The sequence below is a fragment of the Homo sapiens genome, chromosome 11, assembly GCF_000001405.40.
Source record: "Homo sapiens chromosome 11, GRCh38.p14 Primary Assembly".
In the NCBI taxonomy this organism is placed as follows: domain Eukaryota; kingdom Metazoa; phylum Chordata; class Mammalia; order Primates; family Hominidae; genus Homo; species Homo sapiens.
This window is the reverse complement of record NC_000011.10, coordinates 28,099,236-28,125,966: the sequence shown is the minus strand read 5'-3', so window position 1 is coordinate 28,125,966 and position 26,731 is coordinate 28,099,236. Positions and strand designations below refer to the sequence as shown.

The window sequence follows — 26,731 nt, the reverse complement described above, 5'->3', positions numbered from 1 at the left end:
TACATAGCCATGTGTGGATTTGGAGAAATAAGGAATTAAGTCACTTAGAATTCCACTGATGCGTAGAATACGGAAACAAAAAATATTCAAAATTACTACCTTAAGTCGATCAAGAACAGTTTAATTAAGATGCATATACTATAAGGTAAGTTTACATTTCAGAAAAATAAGATTTTAGAAGATTTTTTATCCAAAAAAGAACTTAACAAAACAGTTACAGCAATTTAAGTTGTACCTGGAATACGCAATCATCGTAACTCAAAATCAAATTTGTTAAAAATTGGTTTATAGTTACCTTATTTAACCAATAAATTATTCTAATTCCCTTTATTACAGAAGTACAGTGAAAGGTGTGAGAGACCTGTAACATTGCGGTTTTGATTTTTTTCCATATGTAATCATAAAATCAAACGTGTAAAATCAGCTAGCTTGGTTCCAAAATTCAGAATAGAATACACTGAAATAAAAAAAATGAAACAAAATTTCAGAGTTTTGGATGGATACTCGTTTATCCAACTGCATAGAACTCAGATATAATATCATCAGCACAATCAAACCAGAATAGTGTCAATCTATACACAGATTTCACAGGAAATGGAGAATTTGACCCTACACAACTTACTCCTGGCTTTCAGAAGGCATACTTACCTTAAACAAAACTGATATATCCCTGATATAAATTGCTCAAAGAAATTTTAATACCTACTCTGAAGAAATCTTGAAATAAAAGTATTTATTTTATATGCTATCAATCATGCCTTTAAACTCCTCAGGGGAAAGCTTAATAACTTTAGAAAAATCTGGATGGTTTCTATTACTAACATGATATTACAAAAATAAGTACAAAAACAAGAAAACATTCTACAACATTCCTCTCTCACAGTTATCTCAATTTTCTGAAAAACCTGTCTGTATTTAACTTCTAAAACAGGCCCTAGCAAGAGAAGTTACTTACATTTTCATTCATAAAAGTAGTTCACTATTTCGGTAATTTTAAATTGGAGAAAAATCAAGTTTTTCTACTAAAAAATGTTGGTTTCATATGTATTGCTCAAAGAAGAAACTGTCTTGGCGATGATATTCTATACCGGTAGAAAAATTAAAGTATTCATATAACCATTATATAGGTCATTTAAAATAAGGGGGTATAAAACTGAGGTCAATTTTAATTCTTTCATATTTCTGCTACAAAGTTAAGAGTAATATTAAAGCCATAGACAAGAGACTAATGGTACCTCGGTGCTAGAGAAAGCAGGGAAAACGTACAGAAAGGACAGAAATTCATGGAGTTTTTGCTTTCCTTTTTAGTATTAACACTCCATTTCTTCAAGTCATCCTCTTACAGTTTTTTATTTCCCTCAACACCACAGTTTCTCTCCACCCTCATTTCTAAGCCTCAGTCACTTAATGGCTCTAGTTGGCTTATCCCATATCTTTCTTTGAGCAATTTATCTTCTGATACTGTCATTATAAATATAAGGTTTCCTTGCACGAGTGAGAGATCAATCTGAGATCAAGCTCTGAAAAATTCAGTGAGCTAGCCAATTAGATGTGTCTGCACTCCTCTGCAGAGGGTTATGAAGACAAGAACAGCATAACGTGCTCCAAATGACTGAGCTTGGGCATAGTCACAAGTGCTCAGGGGGCTAGTGATCTATTCTCTAGTAACGTTAGGCCAAATAGCTGTCCTAAGGGATTAAGGGGCCTGATAACAAGCTCTGAAGATCTTCTAGGGTGTCCTCTAGAACATAAGAACACTTAGGTTTGAGGGGAAAAAGCATACTGTATAACCTGATTATTAGCTAGAAGCATTCAAGTCCAAAAAATGTCATTTATTACTATATGGTTCCAGTAAAACATATGCATTAGAGACATTTCCTGTCCTTCTTTCCATATCTGACATGATACTTTGCACAAAACACTACTGAAATTAGTATTAATGAAAAGCACAGTCAATAATATATAAAAGTGCTTCATAAACAGTAAAATCTTATACAACTCTATGTTGTTATTATTAATAATCTTCTTCCCAGTGTATACTCGCCTCAAGTGGGAAATTCTCCATCTTTATGAATATATTAAATATCCACAGTTTACTTCTTTTGCTTGCCAGAAAGAAAAATACATGTAACAAAAGAAAGATTTCAGTTTTATCTTGAAATTTAATTATATAGAAACCTATTACAGATGACACAGGCCAAATAGGACAAAGATAAAAAATATATGCCTAAATTAGCATGTAATTTGATAAAATGACATCTCAAACATTGAAGAACAAAGGAAATAGTTTATACAGACCAACAGAGAGAAAATAAGTAGCTATAAAAAATGCACATACTTTCTAAAGCAATATTCACCAAGAAAAATAAAACATTTAAATGCATATTACCTCCTGGTATTTGTTTCACCCAAAGGGGACAACTACTAGCAACTGACCACAAAGGAAAAAAGAGAGTTTACAGAACATTATAAGATGAGTCACCATAAGGCCTTGCAACTTGGTTTATTGTAAAATAACATTTTACGTATGCTACTTACACCTCAGCTCAGTAGTTTGTTACATGAGGAGAAGGCAGTGGAAGAAGAGTAAAATAAAATGTTATGAGAATCACAAGGTCAAGGTACACTTCCTACCACTCTTCATAAAACAACATGCAACTTAGGGGAACAATGGGAAAAGACAGAGCCACTAAGCCTAGACTCTTGCAGTAACTATGATTAGACTATTGATCAGGGACTAATGCTGACCTAGAGAGTAACAAGTACTGAGGATGACTCGTGTGTATGTGCTTTAGGAACAGAAAAACCTCACTCGTTTCTCCCTTTTCTTTCTATGAGCTTCTCATATACAATGAACCTGTTTTCTGCCTGGGTCATGTCTATTTCCTGAACCAGAAGAATGGCTCTTAAGCAAATTTAAAATTTGGATTCAGTACATACGTCTGATTTTTAAACATGAGAGTGTAACATTTTTATCAACTATGAAACCATAATTTTTTGGTTAATTTTAAAAACTAATTTCTAATTACCTTGGAAGCTTGATTTTTTTATCTTAATTCTTATATTTTAGTAGCAAAGAATTAGTTTGGGACCATGAGAAAGAACAACTAGAAAAAAGATAATTTAAAGCCACTGGATAGGAAAAATAATTGAATAAGTTGTTGGTCTTAATTATTTGATGTCCTAGTAATAATTTGCTTCACAATTCAAATAAAGAGAATTATATATGATGAAAATGCATTAATTCAGTGGTAGAAAAACAAGCATATTTTCATGAATGCCAAATTTTAAAAAAAAGTTATACATTCAATATACACTGTAATTATTAGATTTGAATATGAAAACCTAATTATATAGTTACTTATATGTATACATAAATGTATATATACACACCTATATACATATATATATAAAAACAATATTTTAAATGTTAACCCGTCATTATGGAAAAAATAAGCATGAAAAAATATGTTATTTTCATTTTAGTTATAAATAATGTTTACTTCTAAAACTCTAAAAAACTGTTAAAGAGATTAAGTAACACTTTAGGCATAACTACCTCATTTACCTAAAAGACTATATATATATATATATACACACACACACACACACACACACACACACACACACACATATACACACATCTATATACTAGGATTTGAAGAGATAACCAAGAAAACTAATTTCTGCATCAGTTTTTCACATTTTATAACATGATATGAACAAAGCATTTTATAAAAAATATAATCCATAAACATTCTCATTTTAAAAAAATGTTAAATTTACCTGTAGGATTCATATTCCCACACTCCTCACACCAAGACTCTGTAAGAGGAATTTCTAAACTTGATACTTTGAGTGAGTAAGATGGAGTTAATACACATTACAGTTTTAATAAACTATAACTTTTATTAACTAAAAATATCATATACAATTTATTAAATGATCAAATATAAGAATTCAACATTTAATTGTTGTCTAGTAGTTCTGCATTTACTTTGACTCCCTAAAGATTTTAAATACCTTAACAACAGCATGCAAAATATTCATCACATTGCCAGGCAGTGCGAGTTACCTATAAATGCTACATTTATCCCAAATAACAGATAAACATGCCACTCTTAAAATATTGCATATAATAAACATAAAGCTTATCATAAAATCCAATACTAATGAGACTTTTAAACACATATCAAAGATATGCTTTAAAAGTTTTCATAGAAAAAATCTTCAATATAGAACCTTCAACAGTAAAATAAAGCAACAATATTCATTTTGCTTAAGATATCATCATAAAACAATTGTCTATTTCTAAAAACCATAAATATGAAAAATAAATTGTTTTCTTCAAAAAGATAATTCGCTTCTAAAATGTGTACTATAATATTAATAACATGTTGTCATTCTCAAGTTCTGTTATAAACCATTAATAGCTATGTTGGAAAGTTCAGGTTAAGAATATTTTGAAACCCTTTTAAGGTTTATTAGAAGTGTCAAAATTTCTTCTTTCTAAATCTATTACACAAATGAAGCAACAAATTTTTGTATAGCACAGGGCCCAAAGACAGCACTCTCCTCAGGTCCCAGTGCATAAATTAAAAAGCCAATTAAGTTAAATCAACTGATAACACTAATAAATCATCAGTTCAACTACAGTTAAAATAAATATTTATTGCCCTCCCACTAAGAGTCAAGCACTATACTGGTGCTGGGGAAGCAAAGAAGAAAAAGACATTGTCTTTATTCTTAATAAGTTTCCAATCAATAACAATGAAGAAATAATTATAATACAATGTAATACACTCCATAATTTTAAAAAGGACAAGGTTCAATATAGTTAGGTAGAATGAATAAGATTATTTAAAAGCACAACAGGGTAACAGTCAACAATAATTTATTGTACATTTTAAAATAACTAAAATAATATAATTGGAATGTTCAGAGCACAAAGAAATGATAAATGCTTGAGATGACAGATGACCCATTTACCCTGACGTGACTGTCACACATTGAATGCCTGTGTTGAGACAGCTCATGTGCCCTATAAATACATACACCTGCTATGTACTCATTAAAATTTAAAAAAAGAAAAAAGGAGAAAAAAAGGACAAGGTTCTGAAGCAGTCAAGAGAAGAAAGAGTGAATAACTTTGCAGAGAAACTTTAAGAAGGATAAGTTGACAAACCCAGATACTGAAATATGAACAAGATGTTCTCAGACCAACAAGTCACAGGGAAAAGGGCAAGTATAAGGGCACAGAAGCATCAAATACTACAAAGTGTATGGAAAACTGCATCGTGATTGATACAAAATTCAAGAAGAGGGAAACAGAAGTTGAAGAAATAGGCAGAGACTAAATCTACATTCCATGACATCAGGAACGTACCCCATGGAAATTTGCAAATACTAAAATCAGGATTTTTTTTTGTTTTTTTTTAATTCACATACCACCCCTTACCCCCAGAGAGCCAGGTGTTAAACCTTTACCAGAACAGCACTGGCAGTGTCACATTTCAGAAGATATTTTAATACAAAGGCCACTTAATGTGCTACATTTTTTAGAACATTCTCCAAACAAAGGAAGAATGCAATGTAAAATAAAATTTGCTTCAAAGAAACCTGTATTTTAAAAAATAACAGAGGGAAAACACAACATCAACAGTCCATCTCATATGAAATTTTAAGTTTTTTCTTAAGAAGAAAAAAAAAAAAAAAGGCTGGGCACAGTGGCTTACACCTGTAATCCCAGCACTTTGGGAGGCTGAGGCGGGCAGATCACGAGGTCAGGAGATGGAGACCATCCTGGCTAACACGGTGAAACCCTGTCTCTACTAAAAATACAAAAAAATTAGCTGGATGTGGTGGCAGGCGCCTGTAGTTCCAGCTACTCAGGAGGCTGAGGCAGGAGAATGGTGTGAACTCAAGAGGCAGAGCTTGCAGTGAGCCAAGATCGCCCCACTGCACTCCAGCCTGGGCGACAGAGTGAGACTCCGTCTCAAAAAAAATTTAAAAAGATATCTCCCTCTAGGTGCTATGCCATTGGTCCTATTCCTTAGAAAAGTTTCTCTTTAACAATTTGGAGTCAAACAAAATAAACTCCCGTCATCAGCCTCCAATATTTAAAGAGAGCAAACATACAGTTTTAGTATTTTTCTCTTTGATGTCTACTCTCCATTAAAGATTGCAAAGATTTTTAAATAAAACAAGTAAAATACTGCTACTGATCTTAAGAAAATTCCATTGTACAGAGCATAATGCATTTAATAAAGAAAATTATCAAAGCTAGTACCATAACTATAGAAAATCTAATAATTATAAAAAGTAATACTAAACATTATAACTTAAAATAGGTAAAAACTTACTTTGAAATATTTATAACCGAACCTAGCAAATTTAAACTATTTGTCATCATAATCTATTTTGCTTCCGTTTAGGTGCCAGCTTATTTTCTCAGCCTTTGTATCTGTTTTTTCAGATCAGTTACTTGATCAGACCTGGCCTGCCATACTGACGCTGAAATTATATAAAAGTCTTGAGCCAGAGAAGCTACCTCAGTACCCAAGGGACATTCCTCTTATTGGTGCCTCACATCTGTCTTCTAGTTTACTTTGACTTTTATTCATTCACTTAAAACATCATTACAAAACTACCATGTGGCAGGCCTTGTGCTAAGCACTAGAGATATAATGGTAAGCAAGACAAATATGTCCATGGCTTCATGGAGGGCAATCTACTAAGAGAGGTGTATATTGAACAAATAATCTCATCATAATTATAATTATGACTTATTAAGTTGCTATGAAGAAAAGTACATGATATATAATTGGGATACCTGTCTTCTGTGGAGGCTCATGAAAAGTTCCCATAAAAAGGTAAAACCTGACTCCAGGCCTGAAGGATGAAGATGAGGAGAGTTCCAGAAAGAGGAAACAGTACTTTTTCAGTTCCAGACAGGTTGGTTCCACCTTTGCTCTCCCCTTGCATTTTTCTCCTGAATTTCTTTTTTAATCTAGCTAACAACTTTGACTCTTTCTATTCCCATAGTAACAGCTAATGTTTATTGGGCTCAACTACTTGGAAGATACAATTCTAAACAATTTATGTATATTAACTCATCTAATCCTTACAGTAACCAGGAGTGAGATAGGTTCTCTTTCCTTATTTTACAGATAAGGAATCTGAGGCACAACCATGGAAAGTTAATTGACCAAACTGCACAGCTACTTGTACTAGTGGGGTACTTGTACCCTTATAATAACACTCAAAGAAGCCCCAAGGCACCAAGCTAAATTAGCACTACTACTGGGGCAAGAGTATCAGGTTTCCTATACTCTCCAAACTGCTACCATCTTAAACTAAGCAGAATTTAGCTATTTAGAAAATAACCAAACTTTTTTTTCTCCAGTTTTCAGAAATCAAGAATAAAAAGTTAATCTATTAGCCCAGACTAAAATATCTCCAGGAGAAAAAAAAAAGTTCTTAGGATAATACATTTTCACAAAAAGTTATTCACCTAGAATATGAAATGATGCAAACTAAGCAGGGAGAAATAATTATAATTTCTTTAATTTCTCCTTAACAATTAAAATTTTAAATACCTTCCAAGAGAAAGAGGATATTTTTCTCATAATTAAAACTAGTAAATATTTTAAGTGTATTTGAAAAACAAATCTGTAGTAAACTACATAGGTAGTAAACTAGCTATGATGCTAAAGAAATTCCCAAAATCACTATTTTCTTTAGGTGAGCACCTTTCAAGTATTAAAGAAAAAAGAACTATAAAATGCCTTGCACCTCACTTCAAATACATTCAGATATTTTTTAAAGTTCCTGTTACATCAAAAGTTTCATCTGGAGAATGGAGTGAACCTGCGAGGTGGAGCTTGCAGTAAGCTGAGATTGTGCCACTGTACTCCAGCCTGGACGACAGAGCGAAACTCCGTCTCAAAAAAAAACAAAAAAACAAAAAAAAGTTTCATCTGTAAATTCATCATTGAAGGTGATGCAGAAAAAGGTAATAGTAAGTAAGTAAGTGACTGATGCAAGTGAGTGTATGACTCATAGTTTGAAAAGGAAAATGATTTTGGGGAAAAGGCTCAGGAAGAAGAGAAGCAAATAATGGATTATGGACAAAATGAAGACCTTTCCTGTCCAAGGACTGTCACCAGTTCTTTATTACTTGAAGATTAAGGGAATAGTGAATAAAGCTGTCTGCCAGACAGCAGAAAAGGTAAGAAATAACATTGTCTCTAAGTGTACCTCACAAGAAAGTTTTTAGAAGTAACATTGGAAACATTAAACTTCTTATAAAAAGTTACTGGAAAACCCAACTCAAATCAGAAAAAGGAAAATGCCAAAATAAACCAACATTACATTTGTAGGTACTTGAACAGAATGAAACAGCAGTGTAGGTCAAGTTGTAGAATTATCTAATTTTATTCCACTTGGTTTTAGAAAATAGTTGGATACAATACTGATTTGCTAGAAGATGTAGTGCAATTTGTTTTTGTTTGTTTTTCTACTCCATGGCTTAGTGCAACATAAGCATTTGGCTTTGTTACTAGGGTTTAATAAACTAATACAATGTGCTTCGGTTTTTAGTTTCAGAAGTCAAGTTCAAGCCACTGAATTTGGTTCCAATTTTTACTAACTGCCCCTATCCTTTCATATATATATATATATATATATATATATATATATATATATACACACACACACACACACACACACATACATATATAGGTGTATATATGTATGTATATATACACACACTAACAAATATCACATATATTTCAATATACATTTTTTAAAACTCACACTTATGTATGGATTTTAATTGTTACCCCTGCATTATGGATCTTTTTAAAGCACGAAGAGAATTTCATTTTGATGAAGTCACTCACATTCAACAAGAAGTTTTATCCAATTTAATATTTTAATTTACATTTTCATGTATATTTGGAGTCCCACTACATGACAGCATTGAGCTAAATACTTTATACACGTAAATTCATTTAAGAATACTGGGTTTATCTGGGTGCAGCAGCTCACACCCATAGGACCAGCTACTCAGGAAGCTGAGACAGGAAGGATCACCTGAGCCCAGGAGTTCCAGACTACAGTGAGTTATGATCACATCACCATACTTCAGCCTCAACAACAGAGACAGACTCTCTCTAGAACAATTAAAATTTAAAAAAAAATTTTTTAAAGAATGCTGGATTTATTTTGTGTGTAAACTTGCCTGTGTATACTGCCTGAGGAGAAGGTAAATAATATTTTTATGAAGAACCCACATCGTATCACTGATGGCTTTTGTATGAGCAACATCTAGCCATTGTAGTACACCTTATACATATAGCTTAAATTTAGTTCATGAAAACTGCCTGATCCAACATGAAAAAGTTTCAGAAAAAAGAAAAGCTGGGTGTGTGCACACATGCACATGTTTCCTAGACAAGAGCTTAGAACCTAGGCAGTCCAGTTCCAGAATCTTTGCTCTTAACCACTAAGCAGTATGTTGGAAAAAGAAGAAAGATATAAAAATAACTGATTTAGATAAAAACAGTAGCTTCTAGAATAAGGGATCACATTTCTGAAGTCAGTACACTAAGAAATATAAGCATTAAATTATCTTTAAAAATTGAAGACAATCTACAATACTTTTTTCTCTTGTGAATGAATATACATATCAGAAAGTTTCTAGCTTTTTCGTTTTCAATATTATATCAACCAACATTTTTTACATTGCTTTAAAGAGATCATACCTACCTTACAGTATTCATGGCAGGATTAAAGAAGGTCTTAGATTATGACTTTAAATAATAATCTAAGACCTTATTTAATTTAATCTAAATTAAATATCTAGATTATGATATAAGGTCATAATGAAAGATCTTATGTAATCCTTTAATCCTCTCTTTCTATAAAGAGAGAGACTTATGTTAAGGAATTGGCTTAGGAGATTGTGGTGCACTGGTAAATCCAAAATCGGTAGGGTTGTGTGTGTGTGTGTGTGTGTGTGTGTGTGTATGTGTATGTGTGTGTGTCTGTGTATACATGCATATATGTATGTGTATATATATACACACATATATATGTGTATGGGTATACACACACACACACGATTTATCCTTGAACAACACAGGTTTGAACTGCGAAAGTCCACTTATTTGTGGATTTTCTTCAGCCTCTGCCACCCTTGCAACAGCAAGATCAACCCCTCCTCCTCTTCCTCAGTCTACTTAACAAGAAGACAAGGATGAAGACTTTTATGATGACCTACTTCCACTTAATAAATAGTAAATATATTTTATCTTCCTTATGATTCTCTTAATATTTTTGCTCTAGCTTACTTTATTGTAAGAATACAGTATATAATACACATAACATATGAAATATGTGTTTATGGAAGGGTGTGTTGGCTCACACCTGTAATCCCAGCACTTTGGGAGGCCAAGGTGGGTGGATCACCTGAGGTCAGGAGTTCGAGACCAGCCTGACCAACATGGAGAAACCCCATCTCTACTAAAAATACGAAATTAGCCGGGCGTGGTGGTACATGCCTGTAATCCCAGCTACTCGGGAGGCTGAGGCAGGAGAATCAATTGAACCCGGGAAGCAGAGGTTGCGGTGGGCCAAGATCATGCCATTGCACTCCAGCCTGGGCAACAAGAGCAAAACTCCATCTCAAAAAAAAAAAGAAAACGAGAAAGAAAAAGAAAAAAAGAAATATGTGTTTATGTTTTCAGCAAGGTTTCTGGTCAATAGTAGGTTATTAGTAATTTTTTGGAGAATCAAAAGTTATACATGGATTTTCAACTCTGTAGGGGTCAACACCCCAAATTCCCACATTGTTCAAGGGTCAACTGTCTGTTGGTTTTGATTCTCTGGGGAACTCTAATACTTCAGGGTAGTTGAAAACCAAGGCTTAGAAAACAGGAAAAGGAATTCAGATTCATATCTTTGTCTCCAGCCATTCCTGAAAGGATTATGAAATAAAATTCTCAAGAAGCTCTACTGGATTCAGTTTTCATACCCTAACCACTCAGCCAGTGTAATGTTCTTTTTCTTTTAAGACTGTAATTTGACAAAACCAATCAACTCTGAGAAACAGTTTGTCACAGCCTCAAAAAGTTAAGCCTAGAGGAATTCCACTCCTAGATATATATACCCAAGAGAACTGAAAACATATGTACATACCAAAACTTGTACAAGGCCGGGCATGGTGGCTCAAGCCTGTAATCCCAACACTTTCGGAGGCCAAGGCAGGAGGATCACCTGAGGTCAGGAGTTCATGACCAGCCTGGCCAACATGGTGAAACCCCATCTCTACTAAAAATACAAAAATTAGCCGGCCACGGTAGTGTTCACCTATAGTCTCAGCTACTTGGGAGGCTCAGGCAAGAGAATCGCTTGAACCCAGGAGGCGGGGGTTGCAGTGAGCCGAGATCACACCACTGCACTCCAGCTTAGGTGACAGAGCAAGACTCTGTTTCAAAAAAAAGAAAAGAAAACTTGTACACGAATGTTCGTAGTAGCATTATTCACAATAGCCACAAAGCAGAAACAATATAAATGCTCATCATTTGGTTAACGGATAAACAAAATGTGGCATATCCATACAATGCAATGATTCAGCAATAAAAAAGAACCAAGTACAGATACATGCAACACCATGGAAGAACCCTGAAAACATGCTGAGTAAAAGAAGGCAGATAAAAAATGCCACATATCTATGAATCCATTTAAATGAAATGTCTGGAATAAGCAAATTCATAGAGACAAAAAAAATAGCTTAGTGGTTGTCAGGGGCTGGGGGAAGGATGTCAATGGCGAGTGAATACTAATGGGAATGGGGTTTCATACTGGGATGACAAACACATTCCTCAATTAAACAGTGGTCATAAGCTTATCAATACAAATTCTCCTCAACTTACAAGGGGGTTATGTCCTGACAAACCCTTCATTAGTTGAAAACACCATGTGTCAAAAATGCATTTAAGTACTTAACCTACCGAACATCATAGCTTAGTCTAACCTACCTTAAACATGCTCAGAACACTTACGTTACCCTACAGTTAGGCAAAATCAGCTAACACAGAGCCTATTTTATAATCAAGTTATTGACTATCTCATGTAACTTATATGAATATTGTCCTGAAAGTTAAAAAAAGCATGGTTGTATGGCACTGAAAAGTACAATTTCTACTGAATGTGTATCACTTTCGCATCAACCATCAAAAGTTGGGATTCATCTGTATACTAAAGGCCACTGAATTGTATACCTTAAAATAATGAATATTACAATAAGTGAATTTTATCTCAACAAAAACTTGCTAAAAAATAAAAATTCAACTCACCTGTCCTTTTTGTGGTGACAAACAATGAACAACTTCATCCACCATTACTGGAATATGTAATTTAGCCATAGTTTCAAAATCTCTATCTTGAGATCTGTGTAACTCCTGGGCTTGAGTTTGATCTGTTTGCTCCCGGGCTTCATATTCTCTATATTTTTCTGCTGTAGTATGTATTCTGTTTGGCCAGACACCTAAATTAGGTATGCCAGATTCCAACCAACATGAAAGGCATTCTTTATACATTCTACAAAAATATGGATACCGAAGCATTTTGTAGGTAAACAAATCTAGAAAAAAAAATTAAAATATGATTGTTGGATTTTTTTAAAAGAATGTTCTAATACTTGGGGAAAATCAAATTAATATGCAATATTTAGCACATCAAAAAAAAGTTAAGACTCATGATCCTAACATCTTAAACAAGTAAAGGTGACAAACCCTTCTTATATATACAAAGCAAGGAACCTAAGAGGACCCAGAGACGTAATTTAAACATAATTTAAATACAATTTTTAATGTAGCCTAATACATTCTAATATCATTAACATTTTAACCATTAGGGATATGAAAATTGATTATTAGGTCAACATTTTTATGAAACATACTTTTTTGAATTTTAATTAAGGCTAAAAAGTAGATTCAATGAATTAAAACTGTTTATTTGAAAAGTAATCAGGATGACTGAACGGATTAAAAGTATTACATTTTAGATTCAGATGGTCTTCTATTTCAAGCTCTTGTATTTGTTTTTCTCACAATGCTAAATTCTCATCTTCAGAGACTATCCCTGGGAAAAGACTACGCATGCACATCCAAAAAATAAAAAAGATAATCAGTCTATCAGTCCGATTCTCTGACGAGATCATCTCCCTGTACCCTGTATCAGTGGAGTGTATATCAGTTTAAACTATGACTGTATAAACACTCAACTGAGCACACTTCGGTATTTCATGTCTACCTTTAATTATCTGTCCCCGGCACCCAAAAAACAAATAATTGATATATTCCTTGGATTTACCATAGGTGCTCCATTTTCTTCAGCAATCCATAACTCTTTAAAATGCAGAAGAAAAAAAGGATTTATGTACATATATTAACAGGAGACCTTTTGAAAACACCATGCATTTTATACCCAGCTGGTTTCAAGCAAAGTTTTTGATACTACCACAGTAAACACCGCTTGATACTACCCAGTTAACACTATTCTTTCCTTACAGGTTATTAGTTATTTAAGAATATGACCCACACCTTCGTATACACAAAATAAGATGCACATCAGTGCTTAATAAATGTTTTCTGAAGAAAATGAATGAATGGATTAATTCCAGACTCCACAGAATTAGCATTGTTATCAATCCTCACTTTGGGAAATTTCCCCTGCATGACTGACCCCACCAAAAACCATATGTTCTCAAAATACTACAAGAAGCATAAATCCCACTTAAATATGTCTGTCTTTCCTTTTGCAATAAAAAAAATTAAAAACGTTGAAAAGCTGATCACACGTAATAAAACACAAAGAAATACAAATATGATGTAACATCAACAAGATGTTACCTTGAGGATAATATGTTAACTTCACCAAAGCTATAATCTGCAGAATTGTGTGGCAAATGTGACATTGAAAAAATGTCGGTGGGGGGGGGAATGAGTGATCTAAGTAGATTTTTGGTTGCTTGGCAGCAATGAAATAGCCAAATTATTAATTATGCCTAAGGTTTCTGGAAAGCGTACAAAAGTAAGCTCAACTACCCTCTGACTTAGTGTTTCTAACAGTTTACAAAATAATAGCTAACATTTATTTAGCACTTACTAAGCACCACTTACTATTATAACCACACTACATGCGCTACCTCATTCAATCCTTACCACGACTCTTGAAATATTATTCCCATTTTATAGACAGGGAAAACAGAGAAGTAATTTGCCAAAGGCCACATAGCTAGAGAGCCGTAAAGCTAAAATTGTAACACAGTCTACCCCCAGAGCCTGAACTCAATCTCCATGCTATAAACATTGCCCACTGGAACTATTTAATCCACTTATGTAATTTAATAGTACTTCAATTAAATTGACTATATATCTGTAATATCTCATAGATTCATTTTATTAAGGAACCGACATCCAATGGCTTGGCTCTGTTCCACTTAAAAATAACAGTATGCTGCGGGGTTCCCAGTAATGAACGTACAATGTATACGCCTAAAAAGTGAACTCTGGAACAACCTACCCTATATGTCCAGATTTTGATAACTAAAAAGAAAAGTAGTATCATCAATTCTAACATAGGAATAAGAACTATACAGGAAAACGCAGAGTAGCGGGGGAAAAACAAACAAAAAACGCTATCACTTGCATTTAATTTTTTTCTATTGCATTCAGTCTCTATGTGTTTATTCAACTATGGTCAAGGCACAAAGCCTGAATATTTTATTATGAACTAATTGCCTGCCAACTTGAGTCAACCTGGAGAAAGGGTGACAAATAGTTCATTTGCCTCTTGTTTCCTGCAATACCTCCCTAAAAAAATGGAAGCTGGGGGTGTGGCATGCTCTAAAGAAAATTATATTCTTCTCTTTTGGAGCCCAGTTTCCTACCAGACAACTTGGAGCTCTCCTGCAGTCTGCTAGTGGCCAGCTACCCTAAATGATTTAAGATTAAGTTCCCTCTGGTCATAAGGAAGCAGGGAGTCAGGAAAACTGCCTCTGTGATCTCCTAGTTAAGTCATTTAACTTTTCTCTACAAGCAAAGTTCACTTTTGGCTGTTGAGAGCATAAAATTGCCAGATTACTCTTTTAATTGTGAAAACACACAGGTGAGTGATGCCCATGAAGGATACTCCCTCAAGGGCTCTAACAATTATAATCATTGCAGTCAATTTTGTCTGGCAGGGAAATCCTGTTTGAAAATGTAATTTTTAAGGACAAAAACGCGACGTGGCGGCTGGCACACGAACGCTGAGAAAGTGAAAGAGGTTCTAAGGAAAGAGAAAAATACACCCTTTTGCCTAAGAATTACGCTCTGACGAGGAAAAACTATTCGGAAACTTCCAAACCCAGGTTGAAGGCGTGTTGAAGAGAGGGAGAGGGTCAGGGGCGTATTTTTCTTTTGCTCCGGACGAATCCAGCGACCCCTGTGGAGTACCCCCAAAGGTTTGGTGGTTTCCAAAACGAGTTCCCGGGACTCGGTCCCCTTCTCCTCACCTGAAGCACGAAGACTTCTCAGCTGGCCTCTAACTCGGGCCAGCGACTACCACTACGGTCCAGGAGAACCTGAATGCGCCGCGCGTCTAGGTCCTGCCCCTGGGGGAAACTTGTAAGGACGGACAGATTGGGTCCACGTCCGCCCAAGCAACTGAGGACCGTCTGCCTTTGGTTCCGCTGTTTCCAGCCTCAGCTGCCAAAGGGTCCTGTTGGCCTGGGGTTTCCAAACGACTTTCCTGGGGGAAATAAATAAGACCTCACTATTGCCATGTTTAAATTCACTTTTACTTTTTCCATTTTTATTTTTTGGTCTGAAACAACTTTAAATCTAACTTTTCATTTATCCTTATCTCTGCTCTTTGGTTTACAATGAAAGTATATTAAACTTGTATTCTGATAACACAGCAGTTATACTCCAATTTTTAACTAAAAGTGGGAATTTCTGTCTCATTAGCTCTATGTTTAGAAACTACAAGGAGCAAGGTGGCACAGTAGTGGGATTGATTGTAATGTCAAAATCTCTCTGCTTTAACCAAATGTACAATTCCTTTAAAATATGGACCTCATCATCTGAACACTGTTAAATGGCAAGTGTAACACTGAATTTGAAATCTAAAGTACTTGGATTAGGTGTGAAAACATCTGTGGCACTGATAAACCTTATACAATGTGGGTGTCAAAAAAGACAAACTTTAAAACACTTCTATTCTTCACCAATGATCCATGCAATTTTACAAGCAACTGGCAAAATATGCATATTTTCAGACTGGATTAAGATATTCTCTTAATGTCACTTAATCCAGAAAGTATTTCAGAGACAAATGACTCAATTCTGAATTGCCTTGCCTGTATAGTTCAAGACAAAATTTTGTGTTAGGAATTTTCTGAAAACTTCAGTTTTCTCTCAGAAAAATGAAAATAATATTACCTACGTCTCATGGGCTGTTTTGAGAATTAACTGAGAGACCATATGTAAAGGGACTAATAAAATACCTGGGAAGTCAAAACGTAAAGTACTATACAATGAGTTCTTACTGGAAATAAAGACATCTCGATTTTATTACCAAGACCAGCAGCACACAAATAACCATTTCATTAGCTAAGATACACGTAATACAGCCAAAAATAAGTAGTAGCTTTATTGATCCTCTGTCTAGTGATCAGAAACAATAATATAACATGCATCACATACAGTACACAATACTCCCGATTTTCCTCAACAGGAAATAAATGTCCATAATACAGAGGTTTCCATATATTGTTGCATTTATAATACTCTGCATGGGTATGAGTCATCCTATTTATAAAGTGATATTGAATCCACAAAATATAAGCTCCAAGAGGGAAGAGTTTGATTCCATTGCATACTATTGTGTCTAAAATCTAAATAATTGCTAAATGGATACAATAACAGTAATATATAGAACAATGAAATTCAGATACTGTTATTAAAAACACCCTGCCAAATAAAGTTATTTTAGCAAACGTATTTCCGATTTGTTCCAGGTATTTTCTCTCTTTTTAAAGTGTCTATGCTGAAATAATATCTATAACCTGGGACTTAAAAAAAATCACTTCACCTAATAATAAACCAAGCCAAAATCTTTAAATTTATTTTGTTATGCCATCATTAGACAGAGAATGTAAAAAGTAACCAAACAGAAAATAGTTTCACGGTCAGTACTAATGGGAGTAGGCCTGGAAGTCCTGAGAAATGAAGCCTGAGGCCTCAACCCAAAAGATCTCCAATTAATTCAGGTGAAGAGACCCCACATTTTGGCCCATATTAATGTGTCTGGAAGAAACAGGTCCCTACAACTTCTTGGAGGCCTCACTACTCAGAGAAAAGAAAATAAACACCCAGAACCCATTAATCCACACCCAAACTCCACCTCTCCCCCTAGCAGAGGGCATAGGCCAACCCCTGCCCGCAGCAGTCTCACTCACACCCTTAACTCTGGGACCGGGCCCTGCACCCGCCGGTCTACAGGAGGCCTGGTGATCTCAAGTGGCTGCCTCCCACCAGCAGCTCCGGCCTAGCCCCGCCCACTTTGGCCACCGCCTCCGGAAACGGCCGCGCGCGTTGCCACGGTGACGAGCAAGCAAAGAGCTTCCCCTGCGCAGCCAGGCTGAGCTTCTTGGCGCCAAGCTGCCGCGAGCCGTGACAGCGTCCGACGTGATGACATCACGCGAGCGGCAGCCAATGAAACGAAGCGCTGAGGAAAGTGGCTTGGGTTTGAATATTGTGGTTGAGTCTGAAGCGCTGGGAGGCGGACATTAAAGTGAAGTGGTTGCGGTAACCTGGCCTGGGCCTGAAGTGAGTGAGAGGCACATGAAGGTAAAACTGGACTCTGGGACGCTCCTTTTGGTGACTTGTATTATTGGGAACGGAGGGTCCTGCCGCTTCAGGTCTAGAAGACCAGGTGGGCTTCTTGACAAACACAGAAGCGTTGAGGGGTGGGGGATCAGGGTACCTGGGGAGAAAGTGAAAGGAAAAAGGGATTCGAGAACCTGCTAAGAGCACAGCTCTGCTTGACCGTAATCCTCGACTGCTCAGCTGGAAGGGCAGGGATCTCCTTAAGTCCTGAGAGGAAGTCTTAAGTTTTAAAGGGCATCTTGGCCCCTTTCCCAGACTGGCAGAGAACTTTAACTGCCCAGCACCTTGTAGTGTCAGCTTTTTTCCGGACTCCAAATTGGGAGTGTTTTGTTTCAGACTCACATATAAGCGTACCCAGGGGCTTACCTATCAAACGAGGAGCTTTTGTTCATCACTGCATAAAATTTTTGTCTGAAGAGCTTTAACTGTTAGTCTTGCACTGGTCAATCGGGAACCCCTCCTGAGCCCCAGTTGTAGGTAGCATCGAGATAAAAGCCGCTCTGACTGCCTAACGGGATTGCCGAGGATCAGATGAGGTACGGAAGAGATACTGTTTGGCAAATGCTCTGCAGATGAAATTAAACTGTAAACATTTAGAATCAGTCCTATAGTCTGTTCTTGGTTTCCGCAGGACTTTTTTTTTTTTTTAGGAGCTCATTAGTCACTCAGTTACAGAGAAGCCAAGACTGACTGCTGTTTATTATATGAGAAGAGAGTATTTGACCAGAATGAACTGATTTTGTGGTATAATATATAGTTTAGATTATGGATAATTAGGTAGAAATTTAGGCACTCTACAGATTTTAATTTTTAGTGTCATTCCACCACGTCTAGCCTCCTGTTTCGTTTTTGTAAGGTTTTTATAAACTTTGATGCTAGAGAATGTGATATCCAATGACTAGATAGTGCTTCTTATTAAGTTCATAGTTTGTAAGAACTATTTCAATAAACAAAGATTATCTACAAAGCACAATCACAAAGAAAAAAACTTAAAAGATTATCTGCCTTTAATAGTAGTAATTAATCTCCTTTTCTATTATTTATTCATTTATTTGAGACAGAGTCTCGCTCTGTGGTCCAAGCTGGAGTGCAGTGACGTGATCGCTGCTCACTGCAACCTCCACCTCCCAGGTTCAAGCAATTCTCGTGCCTCAGCCTCCCGAGTAGCTGGGATTACAGGCGTTTGCCACCACACTCGGCTAATTTTTGTATCTTTGGTAGAGACGGGGATTCACTGTGTTGGCCAGGCTGGTCTCGAACTCCTGACCTCAAGCCATCTGCCCGCCTCGGCCTCCTAAAGTGCAGGAATTACAGGTGTGAGGCAGGGCACCCAGCCCTTCCTCTTCTACTATTGAAAAGTATTTACAAATACATAATATTTTTATATTGAAAGTGCATCTTGTCCCATCATAGAAATACCCCAAATCAATTAAGAGACACGATAAAAATGATTTTTTTTTTTTTTTTTTTTTTGCTGACAACTGTGAAAACTAAGAGGAAAAAAAATAGCTCAGCTGTCAGTGCCGGCCTTCCCTCCAGTTGAACCTTTTATTCTTCCCTGATGGTTGTAAGTTGGTGGGAGTAGTGCCCCCAAGACTGATATTCCAAAAAGAGCTTTAAGATGGACTGTAGATGATAGTGTTGAGTATCGTTTTCAGTCCTATACAGTGTTTGTTGAATCTGAATCTAATTCAGGTTTGAGTTTGTATTTAATATATCATAACTGTCACTCTACTTCTGTATCATTGTTTGGAAGCATTCTCTTCTGATTCCAGTAGAACCTAGCTGTTAATAACATGGACTTTAGATTTGTACCCGTTAAGGAGTTTGTGTTTTATTCTTCTGGTGAGAAGTCATTGGAGACTTTAGAGCAGGTGAATGCCATGTGATGCATCACATGATCTGAATGCTTTTGATGAACGTATCAGTGAATACAATCAATGAATTAAATTTATTATAGTACTTTCATAAAATTAGGGGTGAATCTTTGACTGAATTGACTTATATTTGACATTTGGTTGCCCACTTGTTACGTCATCTTGGAAAAGTTACTTATCCTAAGGCTAAGTCTTTGTTTTTGTAAAATGGAAATACTACTACAACCTACCTTACGTGATTATTATAAGGATTGAATGCAATGACGAATGTCAAGTGTTTACTATAATGCATGAGACAGAGTGTACATACTCAAATGAAAAGCATTGTTGTTCATTATTAATAATTATCACCATATCAACCTAATCTAAGCATTGTTAAAGCATACTTATTGAGAATGGCCACTCTGTGATATCTGACAAGTACAGAGAAATCATAATCAGTTTTATTTTCACATTCAAGAGCTCCTGTGCCAGGCCCTGAGGTTTCTATCAAAAGTAAGGAAATATAAGAGAGTGGTACCAGAAGCTGAGTTTTGGGGGAAATAGGGAGATTTTGGTCAAAGGGTACACTTTAAGTTATAAGATAAATAAGTTCATGGCATTTAATGTACAGCATCAATGGTGATAGACGTATTAATTTAATTGTGGTAATCATTCCATTGTGTATAAGAATATGAGACCATCACATTGTACATCTTCGTTTTATACAATCTTTGCCAATTAAATGTTTTAAAATTTCTAAAAAAGTAAGCAATATATATATTTTTAACTTCTATAAGAAAATTTCTGAGGGTTATATATTTACATCAGGGAGAGTAGTGATTAAGTATTTGGCCTTTAGATTCAGTCAGTCTGAGTTCAAATCCCATGGCATGTGCTTCCTCAGTTGTGTGACTTTAGCCAGTTAATTTCTCTGTATTACACTTTCTGCCTTAATAAAATAGGAATGACAGTACAGGGTTTATGTCATAGGTTGTTATGACGATTTAGTAAGAGTATGTCAATTGTTAGTACATTTCTATTTGTGGGATATGAGCTCAATAGAAAATATAACTTATTGTTACTAAATTAAATGTTGCGATTAAGGTAAATTTTAATAGTGGTTTTGTTGTTGTTGTTTGTCTGTTTTGAAATAAAAATACCTAGACCTTGTTTAAAATTTAAATATTACAAAAGAATATGAAATGGAAAATAAACCTGTCTCTCACTCAGACCTTCATATTTCCCTTCTATAGGGAAAGTGGTATTATCAATTTCTTGTGTACCCTTCTGGGAATGACCATGCATATACATATATATCTTTTAAAAATACAAATGGTAACATGCTATAAGTCTATTAAAACTGTACTGGTTTATTCATTCATTTATTCAACAAGTATTTATTGGGTCCTAAATATTTGACAAGCAGTGTCCTAGGTGCTGGTGTGCAGATGAACTCCGTGCTCTCACAGTGCTTACATTCTAGAGGGAAAACAAGCAATAAATATGTAACCAGATAACATATACTTTCCAATTAGTGCTAAACTCAAGAAAGAAAAATAAACCTAGTAAGGGATTGGAGAAGCAAAGGCAGGGTGACACTATCTTAGATAGATTCTTTAGGGAAAGCCTCTGTAAAGTGGCATTTGAAGAGACCTGAATAATGAAGTGAGGGATTACAATTTGCAAATATCTGGAGGTAATGCCTGCCAGTAAGCAAAAATAAAAAAGCCAGGAGGCCAAAACAAGACTGAAGTGTTTTAGGAATGCTAAGAAAGTCATTGCAGCTGAAGCAGAATAATGAAATGGGGAGACAGCAGTAGAAGTCATTGTCAGAGAGGTAGGCAGGGCCATATGTGGAATTTATAGGCCATGGTAAGGAGTTTGTATTTTATTCTTATGATGAGAAGTCATTGGATAGTTTGGAGCAGGTAAATGACATGCAATACATATCATGATCTGAATGCTTTTGAAGAAAGTATCAGTGCATACAATCAATGAATTAAATAAAATTTATTGTACTTGCATATAATTAGGGGTGAATCTTTAATCTGGGATGAGCACTAGCTACATATGTTATAAGTTAAAAATTGACCTGTTCAACTTGGCTTATTACCATGCAAGTATTCAGGATAAATAGATTTTAATACCTCATTAAACATTGCAGAGGCATGAGCTGTTCTACATAAATGAATCTTCCAGAAAATTGAATATTAGCTTTGCTAAGTAATAAAGTATTTTAACCACACTTAATGATGAAAATAAAACATGATCTTGCCATTTCTTTAATTTTCTAAACAAGAAATTGGGAACATTATTTCTTTCTTATTTTTTTCTTTTTGATGCCTCAGGGTTCTCATTGTGATTGCCTGTTGTTGTCAACTATTGTACTCTAATATGTTGTTTCTCTTGGAGATATACATTTTCTTTTTCCTTCTACTCTAAGTGAGTAAATTGCTTTTTGGGGTCTGTGAGCATTTTTTATAGTTTATTAATTCATTCATTGGTATATTTGAAAATTTACTATATACTAGACTCTCTATGAGAGAATAGGGATATAAAGTAAAAGTCTATTAACTGTCATTTCTTATTCTCTTGTACCCTTTTCTAATCATGCATAATAATCATAAAATTTTGGAGCTAGAAAAAGACTTTCCGTATCATATAATCTAACCCTTTTGTTTTATACATTAGCAAGTAAAGCCCCTTTCCTTAGCCCCTTCATTCTTCTTTTTTGATACCCTACTCTCTCTAGACTAGACAAATATTCTTCTTCAGGTTTAGTATCTATTATATAAAATGCTTGGTACCAGAAGTTTTTTTGAATTTTGGAATTTTTTTTTTTTTTTAATTTTTGCATTGTGCTTACTGGTTGAGGATCTCTAATCTGAAAATCCAAAATACTCTAATGAGCATTTCCTTTGAGTGTCATGTTGGTGCTCACAAAGTTTTAGATTTTAGATTTTCAAATTTGGAATGCTCAACCTGATTATAATGAATAATCACGTTGGAAGTATTTGTCTTTCATGTTTTAGTTCCACCAATGAAATCCTACCAGTTTGCTCTTTTGATTCTGTTCAGTAAATACCACTTAGGGGTAGATAGGACAAAATTGATCAGAGGCTATAATACTATCTTCTGAACAGCTGTCTGAAAAGAATTTGTGAATCCACACATTCTTGCGCAGATAACGATATTTAGGCTTTTCTTTTGCTGCTTCATATTAAACATGGTTGAAGAATTTACTCTCTCTGTGCCTTATTCAGAATCAACTAAATGCTCATTTCTTTTAGTCAGCCATCCTAGAAAACAAAGAAGGCACCACATAATAATGTAGGAACGATCTCATTAATTCCTGCAGATGTAAGTATATTTGAACATAGATTAATTTTTACATTTGATGATTCTGTTGACCTTAGGCATTTTTATTAAGAAAATTCTATCCACATATTTGTTTTTAAAAGATAGGGAAATACATGATACTTTAAAAATTAACATCCATGTCTTTGTTAAAATATGCAACTAGTTGTGAAACAAAGTTATATTTGACATTATACTTAAATTCTATTGACTGAAAGAGTCAAACTCTGTAAAATATTTGAAGAGATTTATTCTGAGCCAAATATGAGTGACCATGGCCCATGACTCAGCCCTCAGGAGGTCCTGAGAGCATGTGCCCAAAGTGGTCAGTGTACAGCGTGGTTTTTTATATTTTAGAGAGGCATGAGACATCAATCAAATACATTTAAGAAATACGTTGGTTTGGTTCAGAAAGGCGGGACAACTCAAAGCGGGGGCTTCCAAGCTATAGGTAAATTTAAACATTTTCTGGTTGACAATTGGTTGAGTTTGTCTAAAGACCTGGGATTGATAGAAAGGAATGTTCAGGTTAAAAATAATTGTGGAGACCAAGTTTTATTTTGCAGAGGAAGCTCTCAGCAAATTTCAGAGAGAGAGAGCAGGTTGTAAAATGTTTCTCCGCAGAGCTAAAAGGGTGCCTGGCTTTTAGTTGATTATCTACTGGATCTGCAAAGAAAAGAGGAAAACAAAGAGGGAAGGGGATTCTCTATAGAACGTGGACTTTTCCAACAAGAAACTTTGCAGGGCAATTTCAAGGCTTGGCAAGTAAATCTATTTTGGGTGTTAAATATTTTTTCTTTGTCTCATAATGTTATGCCAGAGTCAATTGAAAAGCAAGTCACAATATACGGGGTCAAATAAAACGCATCTAATGAAAATCCATGATTTATAGGGCGTGACTCCCCAGACCCCTTAGATAGGAATTTGGGCAAAATAAAAAATCAGAGTTTAGTCCTCATTCCTTTAGGTAATTGTCCAAATTTCTCCCTGGAATGTTACTTAAATAATCCCCTCATTATAGTCTTATAAAGCACTGTTAACCTTTTCCCTATAATGGCACTTGTCACAGTTATACCTTTACATGTTTGTGTCAATATTTTATTAATATCTGTTTCCCTCACTACACTGTAAATAATAATAGCAAACACTTGTAGTTCATACTCTGTACAAAGTATTGTTCTAAGTGTGTAATCTTTACAACTTTATGAGATAGGTACTGTTGTTAGTCTTACTTTACAGATGGGGAAGCTGAGCCACAAGGAGGTTAAGTAACTTATCCACTATCACAGTCAGTACGTCATAGAGCTGAGATTTTAACCTAGGCTGCCTGGCTCCAACATGTAATAGTTGTCATGAATTAATTAACTAATTAATTAGGGAGGGATATCCTCCAGCCTTGAGATTCTAAGGTTTATTTTGAAATAATCACTTAGTATTTTATGTTTACTTTGTTAACAATTTCATTTATGTATATTTAATCTATCATTTAAAAATAGTATATCTGTTAAAATATTGTTGAATATTTCTAAAAGCTTTTAGAAATGTGTATAGGAGATAGTTTTTGTTATCACAAGGAATATGGGACACTGCTGGCCTTTAATAGACAGGGGAGAGAAATGCCAAACATCCTCTAATAGGGCAGTTCTAAATGCCCTATAACAGGGCAGTTCTAAGCAAGGAAGAATTGGCCTACCCAAAGTGCTAGTCATAAGCCCATTGAGAAAAACTCAAAAGATGAACTCAGTCTCTTTGGCAAGAAGAAGCAGGAGTGGGGCAGATAGGAAGAGAATTGGTATTTACTGAATACCTTAATACTTACCCCTTTTAGCCTTTGCAACAAACATTGAGGTATTATTATCTCTTTTATACAAATAGAAACCTGAGACTCATGGGGTTAAGTAACTTGTCCAAGGTCATAAAAGTGAGGTGTAGGTGCTTTGTGACACTTGGCTAGACGGAAGCTCAGGGATGAAAAACAAAGTAGTAATTCACCTGGGACCTGACTTAGAATCCAAATGACCATCCCTTCCTTTTCAGTATTCTATTTTTGGCCAAAGACAGAGTCCTAAAAAGGCAAAGATATGTCTAGCATCTACTGCTTTTAGATTCCTTTGAATTCTGTCCTTATTTGAATTCTGTCCGAAAGTATATGGCTAAGTGGTTTTGTGACATATTTCAGCTTGAATATTGCTATTTCTCCCATTTAAAAAAAAATACAAACAAAACATCTTGACACCACCCCCCCCCTTCACTCACACCATTTTTCTCCTCCCTTTGAAACAGTCCTTTCCATATACCTTGTCTATGGATCTTCTCCTTTCGGGTTTTTTCCCCACTACTGCCCCAAAATTGCTTTTCTCGATGGCCTCTGTGTTAGTAAATCCCATGGTTAATTCTCAGTAAGTACTTGACCTATTAGCAGTATTTAACACAATAGATCGCTGTTTCCTCCTTCATTTAGGATTTCCCGAAAGTTTTTAAAGCTTAATACTGCATTAAGACTGAGGACAGCCTTTATTTTCTTATTTTCTTAACTTCCACCTGCCCTGACATTTCCACCTGGATGTCTGTCAAAACTCTGAGACTTAAGCTATCCAAAACTGAACTGATCTGACCCTGCCTCCCACCACTTCCCGCCCTGCTGAAAAAAGCCCTGCTTCTTATTTCCATCTCAGTTGGTGACTACTTTATCCTTCTAATTCTCAAGCCAAAAACCTTGGAGTTATTCTTCAATCCTGTCTCTCTCTTTCACTCTACATCTACCTGTCAGTAAATTCTGTCACCTTTACCCTCAGAATACACCCATAATCTGACCACTTACCACCTCTGCTGCCACTACCCTATTCTGAGCTGACAGAGTTGTCTCTTGTCTACATTACTTCAATAGACTAGTCTATTATATTATCCACATAGCAGTGAGAGTGATAGATTATGTCACTCCTGTGCTCAAAACGACTTCCAGTTGTTCTTTGTCTTACTCAGAGTACAAGCCAAAGTTCTTTTAATGGCCTCCATTTCTCCTCTCATGTCTTACTACACTCCCCTTTGCTCACTCCATTCTGGCCAACATAAAGTAGCACCCTGGGTCCTTCTCTCTATGGGGAAAAGCTTCCTACAATACCTGTATGACTAACTCCCTCACCTCCTTCAAGTCCTTACTTAAATGTTGTTTTGGGTGAATTTATTATTTTTGTCTCTTTTATTTTAACTTACAAATGACAAAAAAAATGTGTAAGTTTATAGGATACAATGTAATGTTTTGATACATGTGTACACAGTGGAATGAGCATATCAGGCTAATTAATTAACATATCCATCACCTCACATACCATTTTTTTGTTGTGAGAACATTTAAAATGTACTCTTAGCAATTAACCATGGTCACCTTGCTGTGCAATAGATCACCAAAACTATTCCTCTTGTATAACTGAAACTTTGTACCCTTTGACCAACATTTCCCCTTTTACCACCCACCCCACCCTCCTCAGCCTCTGGTAACCATTACTCTACTTCTCTGTGTTCATATTTTTAGATTCTGCATAAAAGTGAGATCATGTGATATTTGTCTTTTTG

At 35.4% G+C, this 26,731-nt stretch overlaps 2 protein-coding genes across 11 annotated transcripts in view, besides 7 other annotated features; one reads left to right on the top strand and one right to left on the bottom strand.

The window, feature by feature from the left end:
* Positions 1–17,579, bottom strand: part of METTL15 (methyltransferase 15, mitochondrial 12S rRNA N4-cytidine) — a 424,088-nt gene extending 406,509 nt beyond the window's left edge. For 7 of the 9 annotated variants that reach the window (XR_007062458.1, XR_930849.3, NM_152636.3 and 4 more), the window contains exons 1-3: positions 17,515–17,579; positions 15,566–15,801; positions 12,363–12,649 (exon numbers count right to left, since the gene is read on the bottom strand). Coding sequence is in view for 7 of the 9 variants with exons in the window: in NM_152636.3 (NP_689849.2) it covers positions 12,363–12,632 (270 nt within the window). In the remaining 2 variants the exon portion in view is untranslated. Of the gene's footprint in view, positions 1–295; positions 458–2,044; positions 3,826–12,362; positions 12,650–15,565; positions 15,802–17,514 lie in introns of those variants that run through there. The other 2 variants (XM_047426516.1, XM_047426515.1) reach the window with 2 other exon arrangements.
* Positions 15,446–15,675: an enhancer, noted in NCBI's record as "active region_4550". NCBI's record gives its function as "activates an Ori minimal core promoter by ATAC-STARR-seq in GM12878 lymphoblastoid cells {active_cell/tissue: GM12878}" and the evidence as "EXISTENCE:reporter gene assay evidence [ECO:0000049][PMID:35858748]".
* Positions 15,446–16,038: a biological region, named in NCBI's record as "H3K27ac hESC enhancer GRCh37_chr11:28131476-28131976".
* Positions 15,538–16,038: an enhancer, noted in NCBI's record as "H3K27ac hESC enhancer chr11:28131476-28131976 (GRCh37/hg19 assembly coordinates)". NCBI's record gives its function as "activates a minimal SCP1, AML or CMV promoter by ChIP-STARR-seq in naive H9 embryonic stem cells {active_cell/tissue: H9 hESC(naive)}" and the evidence as "EXISTENCE:reporter gene assay evidence [ECO:0000049][PMID:30033119]".
* Positions 17,284–17,363: an enhancer, noted in NCBI's record as "active region_4549". NCBI's record gives its function as "activates an Ori minimal core promoter by ATAC-STARR-seq in GM12878 lymphoblastoid cells {active_cell/tissue: GM12878}" and the evidence as "EXISTENCE:reporter gene assay evidence [ECO:0000049][PMID:35858748]".
* Positions 17,550–18,073: an enhancer, noted in NCBI's record as "H3K27ac hESC enhancer chr11:28129441-28129964 (GRCh37/hg19 assembly coordinates)". NCBI's record gives its function as "activates a minimal SCP1, AML or CMV promoter by ChIP-STARR-seq in naive H9 embryonic stem cells {active_cell/tissue: H9 hESC(naive)}" and the evidence as "EXISTENCE:reporter gene assay evidence [ECO:0000049][PMID:30033119]".
* The window catches only part of KIF18A (kinesin family member 18A), an 87,538-nt gene continuing 78,617 nt past the window's right edge, over positions 17,811–26,731 (top strand). Inside the window, exon 1 of one of the 2 annotated variants that reach the window (NM_031217.4) lies at positions 17,811–17,903. The gene's annotated coding sequence lies outside the window, so the exon portion shown is untranslated. Of the gene's footprint in view, positions 18,479–26,731 lie in introns of both variants that reach the window. The other variant, XM_017018379.2, reaches the window with a different exon arrangement.
* Positions 18,074–18,598: an enhancer, noted in NCBI's record as "H3K27ac hESC enhancer chr11:28128916-28129440 (GRCh37/hg19 assembly coordinates)". NCBI's record gives its function as "activates a minimal SCP1, AML or CMV promoter by ChIP-STARR-seq in naive H9 embryonic stem cells {active_cell/tissue: H9 hESC(naive)}" and the evidence as "EXISTENCE:reporter gene assay evidence [ECO:0000049][PMID:30033119]".
* Positions 18,274–18,533: an enhancer, noted in NCBI's record as "active region_4548". NCBI's record gives its function as "activates an Ori minimal core promoter by ATAC-STARR-seq in GM12878 lymphoblastoid cells {active_cell/tissue: GM12878}" and the evidence as "EXISTENCE:reporter gene assay evidence [ECO:0000049][PMID:35858748]".